This window comes from Homo sapiens, chromosome 4 (assembly GCF_000001405.40).
Source record: "Homo sapiens chromosome 4, GRCh38.p14 Primary Assembly".
In the NCBI taxonomy this organism is placed as follows: domain Eukaryota; kingdom Metazoa; phylum Chordata; class Mammalia; order Primates; family Hominidae; genus Homo; species Homo sapiens.
The window spans coordinates 74,553,088-74,569,081 of record NC_000004.12 but is presented as its reverse complement, the minus strand read 5'-3'; the positions used below and the strand labels follow the sequence as shown (position 1 = coordinate 74,569,081).

Sequence of the window (15,994 nt, the reverse complement as noted above, 5' to 3'; positions counted from 1 at the left end):
TAGTAGTTCTTTATATATTTGGATATTAGCATTTTATGAGATACACAGTTTACAAATATTTTCTCCTATTCTATATATTGCTACTTAATTTTGTTGTTTTTCTTTGCTGTACTGAAGCCTTTTAGTTTGATGTAATTCCATTCATCTACTTTTGCTTTTGTTGCCTTGTTTTCAGTGTCATATCGAATAAACAATTTCCAAAGGAAAGGTCAAGATGTTTTTTTCCCTATGTTTTCTTCTAGGAGTTTCATGGATACAGGTATTATGCTTAAGTCTTTAATCCATTTTGAGTTTATTTCTTTTCAGAAAGTTTGTTGTTAGTGTGTAAAAACACAACTGAGTTTTGAATGCTGATTTTGTATCCTGTAACTTTAATGAATTTGTATGTTAGTTCGGATAGGTTGTGTGTGTGTGTGTGTGTGTGTGTGTGTGTGTGTGTGTGTGTCTGTGTAGTCTTTAGGGTTGTCCATACATAAGATGATGTTGTCTGTAAACAGAGGTAATTTTATTTCTTCCTTTCTAATTTGGATACCTTTTTCTTTTCCTGCCTAATTTCTCTGGTTAGGGCTTCTAGTACTATTTTGAATAGAAATAGTAAAAGCGAACATTCTTACCTTTTCCCTGATCTTACAGGAAAAGCTTTGAGTTTTTCACAATTTAGTATAGTGTTACCTGTGGGCTTTTCCTATATGGCCTTTATTATGTTGAGGTAAATTTTTTCTATACCTAATTTATTGAGACTCCTTACTATAAAAGGGTGTTGAATTTAGTCAAATGCTCTTTCTGCATCCATTGAGATTATCATATAATTTTCATCCTTCTTTCTGTTAAGTAATGTACGACATCGTTTAATTTGTATATGTTGAACCATTTTTGCATCTCAAGGATAAATTCCACTTAGTCATGATGTCATCGTTTTAATGTACTATTGAATTCACATTGCAAAATTCATGTTGCAAACATATTATTGACGATTTTTACATCTATTTTCATCAGGAATATTGGCCTATAGTTTTCATTTTTTGTGGAGTCTGTCTGGTTTTGGTAGTAAGGTGATAGCCTCATAAAATGAGATTGCAGTGTTCCCTTTTGTATTTTGGAAGTATTTAATAAGGTCTGTTATTAGTTCTTTTTTAAATGTTTGGCAGAATTTATCTGTAAGGCTACCTGGTCTTGGACTTTTCTTTTTTGGCAAGTTTTGATTGCTAATTCAATATCCTCATTAATTGTTGGTTTGTTCAAGATTTCTATTTATTCTTGATTCAGTCTCGGTAGTTTGTATTTGTCTAAGGATATATCTATGTCCTCTAGGTTGTCCAATTTGTTAGAATGTAATTGTTTATAATAGGCCTTTATTTTTTTATTTCATAAACATCAGTTGTAATGTCAACTCTGTCATTTCTGATTTTATTTGTTTAGCTCTCCTCTCTTTTTTCTTAGTCTATCTAGTGAATTGTCAATTTTACTTACCTTTGCAAAAAATATTATCTTTTTTATCTTTCTAGTGTTTTTCTATTTTCTAGTCCATTTATTTCTACTCTAATCTTTATTATTTCATTTTGCATGCTACTTTGGGCTTAGTTCATTGTTCTTTTTCTAGTTACTTGAGGCATAAAGTTATTAAGGTTTTCTCTTTTTTTTTGCTTTATTTCTTCTTCTAAAAAAAAAAAGGACACATGTGCAGGACGTACAGGTTTGTTACATAGGTATACATGCCATGGTGGTTTGCTGCACTTATTGACCCATCCTATAGGTTCCCTCCCCTCACCATGCACCCCTCAACAGTCCCTAGTGTGTGTTTTTCCCCTCTCTGTGCCCATGTGTTCCCAGTGTTCAACTCCAATTTCTGAGTGAGAACATGCAGTGTTTTTTTCCTGTGTTAGTTTGCTGAGGATGATGGCTTCCAGCTTCATCCATGTCCCTGCAAAGGACATGATCTCATTCATTTTTATGGCTGCATAGTATTCCATGGTGTATATGTACCATATTTTCTTTATCCAGTCTATCATTGATGGGCATTTGGATTGGTTCCATGACTTTGCTATTGTAAATACTGCTGCAATAAACATAGATGTGCATGTGTCTTTATAGTAAAACAATTTATATTCCTTTGGGTATGTATCCAGTAATGGGATTGCTGGGTTAAATGGTATTTCTGGTTCTAGATCCTTGGGGAATTGTCATACTGTCTTCCACAATGGCTGAACTAATTTACATTCCCACCAACAGTATAAAAGCATTCCTATTTCTTCAAAGCCTCACCAGCATCTATTATTTCCTGACTTCATAATAATAGCCATTCTGACTGGCATGAGATGGTATCTCATTGGGTTTTTACTTGCATTTCTCCAATGATCAGTGATGTTGAGCTTTATTTCATGTTTGTTGGTCATGTAAATGTCTTCTTTTGAGAAGTGTCTGTTCATGTCCTTTGCCCACTTTTTGATGGGGTCGTTTTTTTTTCTTGTAAATTTGTTTAAGTTCCTTGTAAATTCTGGATATTAGACCTTTGCCAGATGGGTAGATTGCACAAATTTTCTCCCATTCTGTAGGCTGCCTGTTCATTCTGATGATAGTTTCTTTTGCTGTGCAGAAACTCTTTAGTTTAACTAGATCTCATTTATCAATTTTGGCTTTTGTTGCATTACTTTTGGTGTTTTTGTCATGAGACCTTTGCCCATGCCTATGTTCTGAATGGTATTGACTAGGTTTTCTTCTAGGGTTTTTATGGTTTTGGATTTTACATTTAAGTCGTAAATCCATCTTGAGTTAATTTTTGTATAAGGTGTAAAGAAGGGGTCCAGTTTCAGTTTTCTGCACATGGCTAGCCAGTTTTCCCAGCACCATTTATGGAATAGGAGATCCTTTCCCCATTGCTTGTTTTTGCCAGATTTCTCAAAGATTAGATGGTTGTAGATGTGTGGTGTTATTTCTGAGGTCAATGTTCTGCTCCATTGGTCTATATATCTGTTTTGATACCAGTACCATGCTGTTTTGGTTACTGTAGCCTTATAGTATAGTTTGAAGTCATGTAGCATGATGCCTCCAGCTTTGTTCTTTTTCTTAGGATTTTCTTGGCTATATGGGGTCTTCTTTGATTCCATATGAAATTTAAAATAGTTTTTTATAATTCTGTGAAGAATGTCAATGGTAGTTTGATAGGAATACTATTGCATCTATAAATTGTTTTGGGCAGTATAGCCATTTCCGTGATATTGATTCTTCTATCCATGAGGATGGGAACCATTTGTATCCTCTCTTATTTTCTTGAGCAGTGGTTTGTAGTTCTTGAAGAGGTCCTTCACTTCCCTTCTTAGCTGTATTCCAAGGTATTTTATTCTCTTTGTAGCAATTGCGAGTGAGAGTTCATTTATAATTTGGCTCTCTGCTTGCCTATTGTTGATGTAAAGGAGTGCTTGTGATTTTTGCACATTGATTTTGTATCCTGAGACTTTGCTGAAGTTGCTTACTAGTTCGAGTATTTCTTGGGCAGATATGATGGGCTTTTCTAAATAAAAAATTATGTCATCTGCAAACAGAGACAAGTTGACTTCCTCTCTCCCTGTAAGAATACCTTTATTTCTTTCTCTTGCCTGATGGCCCTGGCCAGACCTTCCAACACTATGATGAATAGCAATGGTTACAGAGGGTATCCTTTTCTTGCACCAGTTTTTTTTCTTTTTTTTTTCTTTTTTTTTTTTTTGAGACAGAGTCTTGCTCTGTTGCCCAGGCTGGAGTGCAGTGGCACAATCTAGGCTCACTGCAAGCTCTGCCTCCTGGGTTCATGCCATTCTCCTGCCTCGGCCTCCCAAGTAGCTGGGACTACAGGTGCCCGCCACCATGCCCGACTAATTTTTTTTTGTATTTTTTTTTTTTTTTTTTTAGTAGAAATGGGGTTTCACCTTGTTGGCCAGGATGGTCTCGATCTCCTGACCTCGTGATCTGCCCGCGTCGGCCTCCCAAGGTGCTGGGAATACAGGCGTGAGCCACCGCACCCAGCTGTCTTGTACCGGTTTTCAAAGGGAATGCTTCCAGCTTTTGCCCATGCACTATGATATGAGCTGTGGGTTTGTCATAAATGACTCATTATTTTGAAGTATGTTCCATCAATACTTTAAAAGTTATCAAAATTTCTGCATCTATTGAGATAATCATGTGGTTTTTGCCCTTGGTTCTGTTTATGTGATGGATTACATTTATTGATTTGCATATGTTGAACCAGCCTTGCATCCCAGGGATGAAGCCAACTTGATCATGGTGGATAAGTTTTTTGATATACTGCTGCATTCTGTTTGGCAGTATTTTATTGAGGATTTTCACATAGATGTTCATCAGGTATATTGGCCTGAAATTTTCCTTTTTTTGTTGTGTCTCTTCCCCGTTTTGGTATCAGGATGATGCTTGCTTCATAAAATGAGTTAGGGAGGAGGAGTCTCTCCTCTTCAATTGTTTGGAATAGTTTGAGAAGGAATGGTACCAGCTCCTCTTTGCATCTCTGGTAAAATTCAGCTGTGAATCCATCTGGTCCTGGGCTTTTTTTTTTTTTGGTTAGCAGGCTATTAATTACTGCCTCAATTTCAGAGCTTGTTATTGGTCTATTCAGGGATTCAACTTCTTCCTGGTATAGTCTTGGTAGGATGTATGCATCCAGGAATTTATCCATTTCTTCTAGATTTTCTAATTTATTTGCATAGAGGTGTTTAAAGTATTCTTTGATGGTAGTTTGTATTTCTGTGGGGTCAGTGATGATATTGCCTTTATTTTTTTTATTGTGTCTATTTGATTATTCTCTCTCTTCTTCTTTATTAGTCTAGCTAGTGGTCTAACTATTTTGTTAATTTTTTCCAAAAACCACCTCCTGGATTTGCTGATTTTTTGGAGGGTTTTTTTTTGTCTCTATCTCCTTCAATTCTTTTCTGATCTTAGTTATTTCTTGTCTTCTGCTACCTTTTGGATTAGTTTGCTCTTGCATCTCTAGCTCTTTTAATTGTGATGTCAGGGTGTTAATTTGAGCTCTTTATAGCTTTCTGATGTAGGCATTTGGTGCTATAAATTTCCCTCTTAACACTGCTTTAGCTATGTCCCAGAGTTTCTGGTATGTTTCCTCTTTGTTCTCATTGGTGTCAAAGAACTTCTTGATTTCTGCCTTAATTTCATTATCTACCTAGGGGTTATTCAGGAGCAGGTTGTTCAATTTCCATGAAATGGTGTGATTTTGAGTGAGTATCTTAATCCTGAGTTCTAATATGATTTCACTGTGGTCTGTGAGACTATCTGTTATGGTTTCAGTTCCTTTGCATTTGTTGAGGAGGGGGTTAATTCCAATTATGTGGTTAATTTTAGAATAAGTGACATGTGGCACTGAGAAGAATGTATATGCTGTTGATTTAGGGTAGAGAGTTCTGTAGACATCTACTAGGTCCACTTGATCCAGAGCTGAGTTCAAGTCCTGAATACCCTTGTTAATTTTCGGTCTCGTCAATCTAATATTGATAGTGGGGTGTTAAAGTCTCCCACTATTATTGTGTGGAAGTCTAAGTCTCTTTGTACATCTCTAAGAACTTGTTTTATGAACCTGGGTGCTCCTGTATTGGGTGCATATATATTTAGGATAGTTAGCTCTTCTTGTTGAATTGTTCCCTTTACCATTATGTAGTACCCTTCTTTATCTTTTTTGATCTTTGTTGGTTTAAAGTCTGTTTTGTCAGATACTAGGATTGCAAACCCAGCTTTTTTTTCCCACTTTCCATTGCTTAGTAAATTTTCCTCCATCTCTTTAAAAATAAAGAGGCTGTGTGTGTCTTTGCTTGTAAGATAGATGTACTGAATATAATATAATGCATATATTACATTATATATATGATATATAACATACACTATATTATATGATATATAACATACGCTATATTATATATGATATATAACATACGCTATATTATATATGATATATAACATACCCTATATTATATATGGTATATAACATACGCTATATTATATATATGATATATAACATACGCTATATTATATATGATATATAACATACGCTATATTATATATGATATATAACATATGCTATATTATATGTATGATATATAACATACGCTATATTATATGTATGATATGTAATATACGCTATATTATATATATATGATATGTAATATACGCTATATTATATATATGATATGCAATATACGCTATATTATATATGATATATAGTATGTATTATATTATATATATCATCGATGATATATATTATGTTATATATCATAGATGATATATAATATATATTATATTATATATGATATATAATATATTATATTATATATGATATATAATATATAGTATTATATATCATATATAATATATAGTATTATATATGATATATACTATAATATACACTATATATCATATATAATAATATATATTATATATCATATATCATATATAATAATATGTAAATTATAATATATAAATTATAATATGTAAATTATAATATATAAACTATTATACATAAATATAATATATAATTATATATAATTATATAAGTAATTAATATATAATTTATATATAATTATATATAATATATTATATAATATATTATATATATAATTCATATATATATTATGTATTATATAATATATATAATTCATATATGGTATATATTACATAATATATATATAATTCATATATATTATATATTATATAATATATTATATATATAATTCATATATATATTATAAAATATATAATATATATATTATAATTTACATATATAATAAATACATATAAAATAAATATACATAAATTATATATATAACATGTATAATGTATATATATAAATTATATAATATATAATGTAATATAACATATATATAAAAAACTTTTCACCTTAGTATAAAAGTTAAAAACCCAAAGTACCCAAAGAAATAAGTATAACTATGATTGAAAAAGTTGTACATGGATATACATATAAATATAAAAAGAAGTAAAACCTGACACAAATATAGTGTGTGGGGAGAGAGGAGTGTTAGTATGCAATGAATTTAAAATGTTATTAGCTTAAAATAGCATGGAATAAGTATACGATACTTTAGGAAAGGCTTATGGTAACCAAAAAGAGAAAATTCCCCACCACCCTAATAATACACAAAAGAAAGAACCAAAGTATATCACTACAGGAAACGAACAAATCACAAAGGAAGTCATCAAGAGAGGAGCAGAAGAACAAAAGAACTATAAGGCAGAAACAAAACAAGAAATGGCAGTGTAACCCTTTACCTATTTATAATTTACTTAGATGGAAACAGAGTATATATAATATAATAATATATAATACATATTATATTATATAATAATATATAATACATATTATATTATATAGTAATATATAATACATATTATATTATATAAGAAGATATAATACATATTATATTATATAATAATATATAATACATATTATATCATATAATAATATATGATTCATATTATATCATATAATATATAATACATATAATATTATATAATAATATATAACACATATTATATTATATAATAATATATAACACATATTATATTATATAATAATATATAACACATATATTATATAATAATATATAACACATATATTATATAATAATATATAACACATATATTATATAATAATATATAACACATATATTATATAATAATATATAACACATATATTATATAATAATATATAACACATATATTATATAATAATATATAACACATATATTATATAATAATATATAACACATACTATATTATATAATAATATATAACATATATTATTATATAATAATGTATTATATGTCATATTATATAATAATATATTACATGTTATATTATATAGTAATATATAATATATATTATATTATATAGATTATTGTATACATTATATATTATATAAATTATATATTATATATTATATATTATATAAATTATGTATTATATATTCTATAAATTATAAATTATATATTATATAAAGTATATAAATATATGTTACATATTATTTGTAGTTTATATTATATTATATATTCTGATGTATATTATTATTTTATATATATTATATATAATATATTATTATATATAATATATATAATATATTATATATATTATATATAATATATAATATGTTATATTATATATAATATATAATATAACATATTATATATAATATATAATATAACATATTATATATAATATATAATATAACATATTATATATTATATATAATATAACATATTATATATAATATATAATATAACATATTATATATTATATATAATATATATAATATAACATATTATAGTTAATATATAATATATAAAATATAACATATTATAGTTAATATATATTATATAACATATTATATATAATATATAATAGAACATATTTTAGTTAATATATAATATATATTATAAAATATATATATAATATATAATATATATAATATATATTATAAAACATATATATAATATATAATATATATAATATACCATATTATATATAATATACGTAATATATATTATATAACTTATATATTATATATAATATATATTATATATAATATAAAATATATTATATATAATATATATTATATATAATATAAAATATATTATATAATATGCATTATATATATATAGTCATGACACTATTGCATCATTCTGTACTTCTATGTATATTTACTTTTACCAGTGAGATTTATTCTTTTATATGCATTTGTGCTGCTGTTTAGTATCTTTTTATTTCAACTTGCAGAACTCTCTTTAAGCACTTCTTAAAAGGCAAATGTAGTGGTGATGAAGTCCCTCAGTTTTTGTTTATCTGGGAAAGTCTTTATAGATCCTTCATTTTTAAAGGACAGTTTTGCCAGGTATATTATTCTTGGTGGGTTTTTTTTTTGAGCACTTTAAATATATTATTATTCCACTCTCTCCTGCCATCAAAGGTTTCTGCTGAAAAATCTACTGATAGCCTTATCAGTGTTCCCTTTTATGTGATGATTCACCTTTCTCTTGCTGCTTTCAAAATTCTCTCTTTGTCTTTGATTTGTAACAATTTAATTATAACATCTCTCAGTGTAGTCCTCATTAGGTTCAACCTATTTGAGTGTTTTGTTGTTCTTCTTCCTTAGTCTGAATGCTCATTTTCTTCCCCAGATTCAAGAAGGTTTTCGACACTATTTCTTTAAATAATCTTTCCTTCTCTATCTCTTTCTTTTCTTCTTATGGGAGTCTCTTAATGTATATATTTGATGATGTTTCATAAGTTCTGTAGGTTCTATTTAATCTTTCTCTTTTTATTTATTTTTGTTTCTCTGAATAATTACAAATAAACAGTCTTTAAATTTGCTGATTCTTTCTTCTGTTTGACCAAGTCTGCTGCTGAAGTTCTCCATTGAATTTTTCAGTTTAGTAATTGTATTCCTCAGCTCTTACATTTCTGCTTTTATTTTTAATGGCTTCTATCACTTTGTTCAACTTCTAATTTTTTTTCATGTATTGTTTTCCTATTTTCAATGTCATGTTTTCCTGATTTTTTATGATCTTTATGACCTTGCATTAGTATCTGAACATTTGAAGAAGCAATCACTCCTTCTGGTCTTTACAGTCTGACTTTGGCAGAGAAAGCCCTTCACTAGTTAGCCTGGCCAAAGATTCTAGATGGGCTAGTTGTTTTTGTCTGAAGATGGGATGTCTGAAAGTATCTGTGGGCCCTGTGGGTGTGGTTGGGCCCATTGATAGTGTCTGCAGGTGGGTGGGCCCACTTCTGAGGCCATGAAGAGTGAATATGATAGTTCTTTTCTTCTTGTAGCAATGGATAGGCCACACATATTCTACAGTTATCTACTGTCTAAATAAACAGTACTCAATTTTACCTTATCTGTTAATGGTAAAGCTAACATACATTCATTCATTTTTCTCCCTTCCATTTCCCAGTTGCTCTAAACATGTACCATTGTCAGTTACTTTTAAAACATTATTTCATATGTCATGTGTTGTATTGATATGCTACAATCTGATACGATCATGGCTGTTCATTCTTTTTTTCTCTTAACCAGATTCACATTATCTAAAGATGCAACATAAGGCAAATAACAATGTATTCTTTATCACTTATTGATTAGAAAGAGTAATTGATTATTTCAATTAATTAGGTCAATCCATGGCTCAGGTCAAACTATGTGTATTGGTCAGGGTTCTCCAGAACGACAGAACCAGTAGATTGTATATCTATATGGCTGTGTGTGTGTTTGTGTGTGTGTGTGTGAGAGAGAGAAAGAAAGATATTTATTATAAGAAATTGGCTTATGAGATTATGAAGGCCGAAAAGTCCCATAATCTGCATTCAATATATAGCAATTTCAGCTCTGTGGCTACCAGAAATAATTGTCTTGTTCTGAGCACACATAGAAGATCTTATGTCATTTATACACTTGGCTTAGAATTCAATCCTTGAGGGCATCCTTTCTTTCACCATTTTGTCTAGCAAAATTAGGAGCAACTAGCCAATATACACCAGTACATATCGGCGTGTATGTATATAAATGTCATTTAGTAATGAGTCCAAAGTTCTTAGAAAAAGGTGAAGAAGTGGTATAAATCCAAATCTGAGGAATGGAGAAGATGAGATTATATGTTGCAGCTCAACAGTTAAGTAGGAGGTGAAAAGGGCACATTTCTCTTTCCTCCGCCTTTTGTAGCTTTCAGGCCCTCAAAAAATTGGATAATGCTCACCAATATCAGGGGAGGCATCTACTGAGTCCATTGGTTTAAATACTGATCTCATCCAGAAACACCTTTACAGACATACCCAAAAATAATATTTTATCTGGGCACCCTATGACCAATTAAATTCACACTTAAAATTTACTATCATACCATGTGTATATCCATAACCACTCATGCCATTATTAATTTCTGTCTTTTTTCAGTCTCTGTATGTGGAGAACCTATAACATGTTAGCTACTGTCAATTACATCTGACTTAAAATTAAATGAAATAGTCCATATTCTAGTAGCATTTATCCTTTGCAGAATAACACAGAAAAGCAGCTACTTTGCAGACAAGAGAATACATTTTAAATACAAGGATCATGCCTAGCCAGAACCTGAGGATCCCTGGAGTTAAGAGTCCCCAGAAGCTGTCAGATTACCTAGAAATTAATATACTTCTATTATAGACTTCAAGTCTTATGACATCATAATCACCATCATTATCATTAAGCATAATCAGGATGTCTTTATCATCACAGCATGGTGCCTACGTTGACACTATTCAGAAGTTTTACTCCAAGAAAAAATAACTTTTACATGAATTTTACAAAAGTGACCAAATATCAAATGGACACAAATATAAACCCAAGATTATATATGAAGCAAAGTGAATCTTCAATTTGTTTTCCCAGTTAAGTGAATGGGGGAAGCATGAAAACTTCATTCAGAAAAAATACAACTTTTGTTTTTCTTTTTCCAGCAAGACATTGTGATCCAAAAGTCACCACTGTGGTTCACTGAAAGCACCAGCATGCATATCCAGTATCATATTATAGATAAAAGGTAGTTTAAAAAACATTAAAAGTTAAATTGGCCGGGCGCAGTGGCTCACGCTTGTAATCCCAGCACTTTGGGAGGCCGAGGCATGCAGATCACAAGGTCAGGAGATCGAGACCATCCTGGCTAACACGGTGAAACCTCATCTCTACTAAAAATACAAAAAAAAAAAAAAAGTTAGCTGGACATGGTGGCGGGAGCCTGTAGCCCCAGCTACTCGGGAGGCTGAGGCAGGAGAATGGTGTGAAACCTGGAGGCAGAGCTTGCAGTGAGCCGAGATAGCGCCACTGCACTCCAGACTGAGTGACAGAGCTAGACTCTGTCTCAAAAAAAAAAAAAAGAAAAAAAAGAAAAAAATTGAATTAAAACATTTTGATTGATTCACTCATTCAATTTAAACAATGTCTTGGAAATTATGGGATGTATAGAATTGGACTAAAACTCAGTCCACATACTGCAATTTTACTTGAACTTTGCTCAACTTCCATTTATACTACCTGGAAATTTTCTTGGTGCTAGTTGCGTTGTCTATTGACTGTTATAGCATTAATTTTTCTTCAAAGTATTATTCTCATTACCAGGAATGAATATGATTACACTCTTTGTTAGAACGTACAGTACCTTGGTAATATGTACATCCGTCATTTCTTGTGCAAACAAATATCCTATATGGTTTGTTTAAAGTCTTTTCCAATGACTATCTGTTCTCATGGGACAGGTGAAAGTTGGTATCTAGTGATTCCTTTCTTACTTGTAGCTTGCTTCAGCTCCAAAAATATTGTATATTTCTTAACAAGCAGGAATATCAGGGATGTTGACAGTTACTTTTTGATTTTTATTTTTAAAAATATGTACTCTTGGGAAAAAACTAACTGTTCAGAATGAAAAGTAAAATCCTTCACCCTCTCACGTCCTCATTCTAACAAATCCTCAGAGGTAACTAACCACTAAACAGTTCCTTTTGTTTCCATTTGGTCATTTTCTATGTATGTGTAAAAATATATACCTATATGTATAATCTCATTTTTTTATTTGGCACAGCCAGGATTGTATTTTACTGTTCTGAGAACAGGAACTTTAACCCAATGTAGAGAAAATAACAGCAAATTCAACATTTTAGTGTCATTTAATTATTATAGAATAAGTCTCAGAACTTTTGGGTTCTTTGAGCTTAATTCAGTTGTTAGAAAAATTGTCTCTCTTCTGATTAACAGAGCAATGACTCTAGAGGTAGTCTATCTGGTTGGAAGTCTCATTCCATTACTTTCTTGATATGTGACTCTACTGAAGTTGACTTAGCTTTTTGGGTCTCAACCTCCTAATGTGCAAAACAGTGGATATAATACTACTTGCTTCAAATGTCTTGAATTAAAATCAAAGCAGATTGTACACTATGCCATTTCAGGGCAGTGATGGGTATAGAAGCCTGACCTTGCTCTAAGTTCAAGCAATGATTAATCTAGCTTCCCTCCTGGTGGGTGACTGAGGCCTTTGCCTGAGGACAACTTTAAAGAGGTAGGAAATCCACCATTGTGTGTTTCTAGTGTGTGTCTCAATTATTGCCGTTACATAGTTACTCTTGATAGTTTTCCTACATTTTTGGTTTGTAAAGATATATCAGTATGCATGTATCTGAAGCAGTTTAAAGTGGCCACTATTACTTGTGTAATTATAAGGATGTGGGCAAAAACCAGTAGATTCTGAGACTATACGCATGTCAATGAGTGGAGCAGACAACATACCTATTTATATGTAAATAACTGAAAAATGTAAATTACAATTGTTGAAATGGAACTACTGTTTGTGCTGTCTTTAGGTTTCTATCTATATAGTAGAAGTAATAATTATATGGTCAAATATATCTTCGAATGCTCTAAAGTTTCATTCATTAATATTTACAACTATAGATTAAAAGTACTATAGAAAATCTTCCAATATTTATAGAATATATGCACTTATTTACTTAGTTCTTCTACATTGCCACAGGTGACACATCTAAGTAGGTCATATTTCAACAATGGTAGTTTCCATGTTTGGGTTCTTTGTAGATCACCATGGATGCTGTGTCTGACTCACTCATTTTGGAGGGTTAGGTGTAGAGAGTCTCCCTGGATCACATTCCATGGGTATATTCCAAGATACACACTCCACTTAACAGGCAATTGGATTGGTAAATGGAAACCAGTTAAAGAAAGAAATATAAACATGCCTGCCATTAGCAACACAATATTTTTGCATTTGGATGTTACTGACCCAATCTCATTCCATTGTTTTATTGGAATGAATTCAGTTTATAATTTATTTATGTTTCAGGGCAAGAAGTTAATTTTGTTAACTAGTTTCATTCCAGAGCTCTCTTTCATCCCCATATCATGCTAAAGTATTCCTTTAAAAGCCACTGGAAAAGTCTTAATGATTCTAGAGACAGTTCCACTCATGTCTTTGATTTATTCATTTATTCAACAGGATATTTACTAAGAGTTCTCTCCAGGGTATAATATGTCAGCAAAATATTAAAATAAGAAATAACTTCAGCTCTTTCATTTATACCCTTATGGTAGGGAATAAAATCATGATCATGGTCTATTTTCTGTCATTCCCTATCTACAGTTTCTTCATTGTCACTCTAATGCCAAGTTTTCTAGGAAAAAGAAAAAAAGTTATCTGATCTAATTTTCTCTTTCTTTGAGAAGTTTCAGGGTTCAAAACCACTTTTTGGTTTCCTATGACTTTTTATATTTCCAAGTTGTCACATTTAGCTTAAGTAGTGTATAAAACAATATTTGTAGGATACTCTATACCCAATAAAATCTTAACTGGTTACATTTTCCTATTATTTTTATTCTTATTTGTGATCTAAATATGAAATATCTCACAAAATCATAAACTGACAAGTAGTTATAGTATTTGATAAAATTTCTCCTTTGATGTGTAAAAAATGTGATGTACTTTTTATAAATAATAAAAGTATTTTTCTGCTTTATATTCAAAATGATCCTGATAACAGTAAATCATTTAGTTGGCAAACTTTTCTTTTTCACTGAATATACTTGGAATCTTATGGCTGAATTTAGCCTACCTCTCCATGGTAACAAAATATCCAGCCAATTTTTCAAGACAAAAATAAAATTGTTTAGTTCACTGATAGGCCATATCATAACATAAATGTAAACATAGTGTTATAAGTCATCTCTATTTTTATCATTTAGTTCCTGGCCATTCTTAATTTGCTTAAAAATTTCTCCACTTGGACGACATAAGAAGCACATACACTTAGTTTTTGCCTCCATAGTTACAATTAAACAAAGAAAGAATGAGTGTGGAGATGAATGGGAAAGGAAAACAAAGGGGAAGGGGAAGAAAACTAAAACTGACTTTTCTCCTTAGAAATTCCAATTTTTTAATTCATGAATGCAAGGCTTTTTAGCCTCTTTATCTACTTTGATGTATTTTTGGAGAATATTACTAACAGTTGAATTCAGCTACAATTTTTAGCTCATTTCCACAGAAGCCTGTATAAACAAAAGATTATTTTTTTCCAATCAGGTAGAATCAGTAATCTAAGATTTTAATGTTCTCTGCCATTAACTATTTCCATTTAAATACAAGATTTTGGTAAAGTCATCACCATTCTCTCTATTTTTAAAATAATCAAATAATTCTGAGGGAAAAAAATATGGAATGCAATATATAGGTATTTCTACTATATCTTCCAAACCAGTTGTTTCTTCTCTGGAAGAAAAAAATTCTTTTGTCCAACTTCAAAGTATATATGCTTATGAGAATTAGCTGAAGAAAATCTAGAAGTTATCTTGGTAATACATTTAGAAGTTTGGGAATGACCAGTTTTCCTAGAGTAGTAAGAAACAAGATTACCTTAGGGAAATAATATGGCTAAAGATACACCACACTTAGCAGTTGTCTCATACTCCACTACATTATCAAATGGGGTCAACTTTTAAGCGGGAGCAACCTTTCAAGATTTCTCCTAATCCTTTCTTGCTGACATTATTCTAAGAGGTGTGGGAACTCCTTTCAATGACCACGGTGGTCTTGCCAAGCAAAAATTTCCCACCAGGTTTTTGCCAGTGTGTAGAGCTTAACAGATGCCTGGGAAGATTGTAGCTGCTGAGCAAAAATGCTGCCTCTCTTCTAGTAGAGGTCACGTATAGAGAAACCATTTTGGATTTCCTTGTTAAGTTTATGATGGTAATATTCTGGTGCTTAACTTTAAAAATTATTTTTTTCAAAAACTTGGAATGTATATGAATGTGCATACACAAGCAGTCTTACACAGTGGCTGAAAGTATAACCTTCAGAGTCCAACAGATGGAGGCTCTATCCAAATGTCATCACCAACTAAGTCTGTGGTCGACATATTAGGTTGTCTATGCAAAATCCATCCCCTTCTTATTTCT

At 30.7% G+C, this 15,994-nt stretch overlaps 1 long non-coding RNA gene across 1 annotated transcript in view; it reads left to right on the top strand.

Moving 5' to 3' along the window:
* The window catches only part of LOC107986229 (uncharacterized), a 35,506-nt gene that overhangs the window by 16,024 nt on the left and 3,488 nt on the right, over positions 1 to 15,994 (top strand). The window lies entirely within an intron of this gene.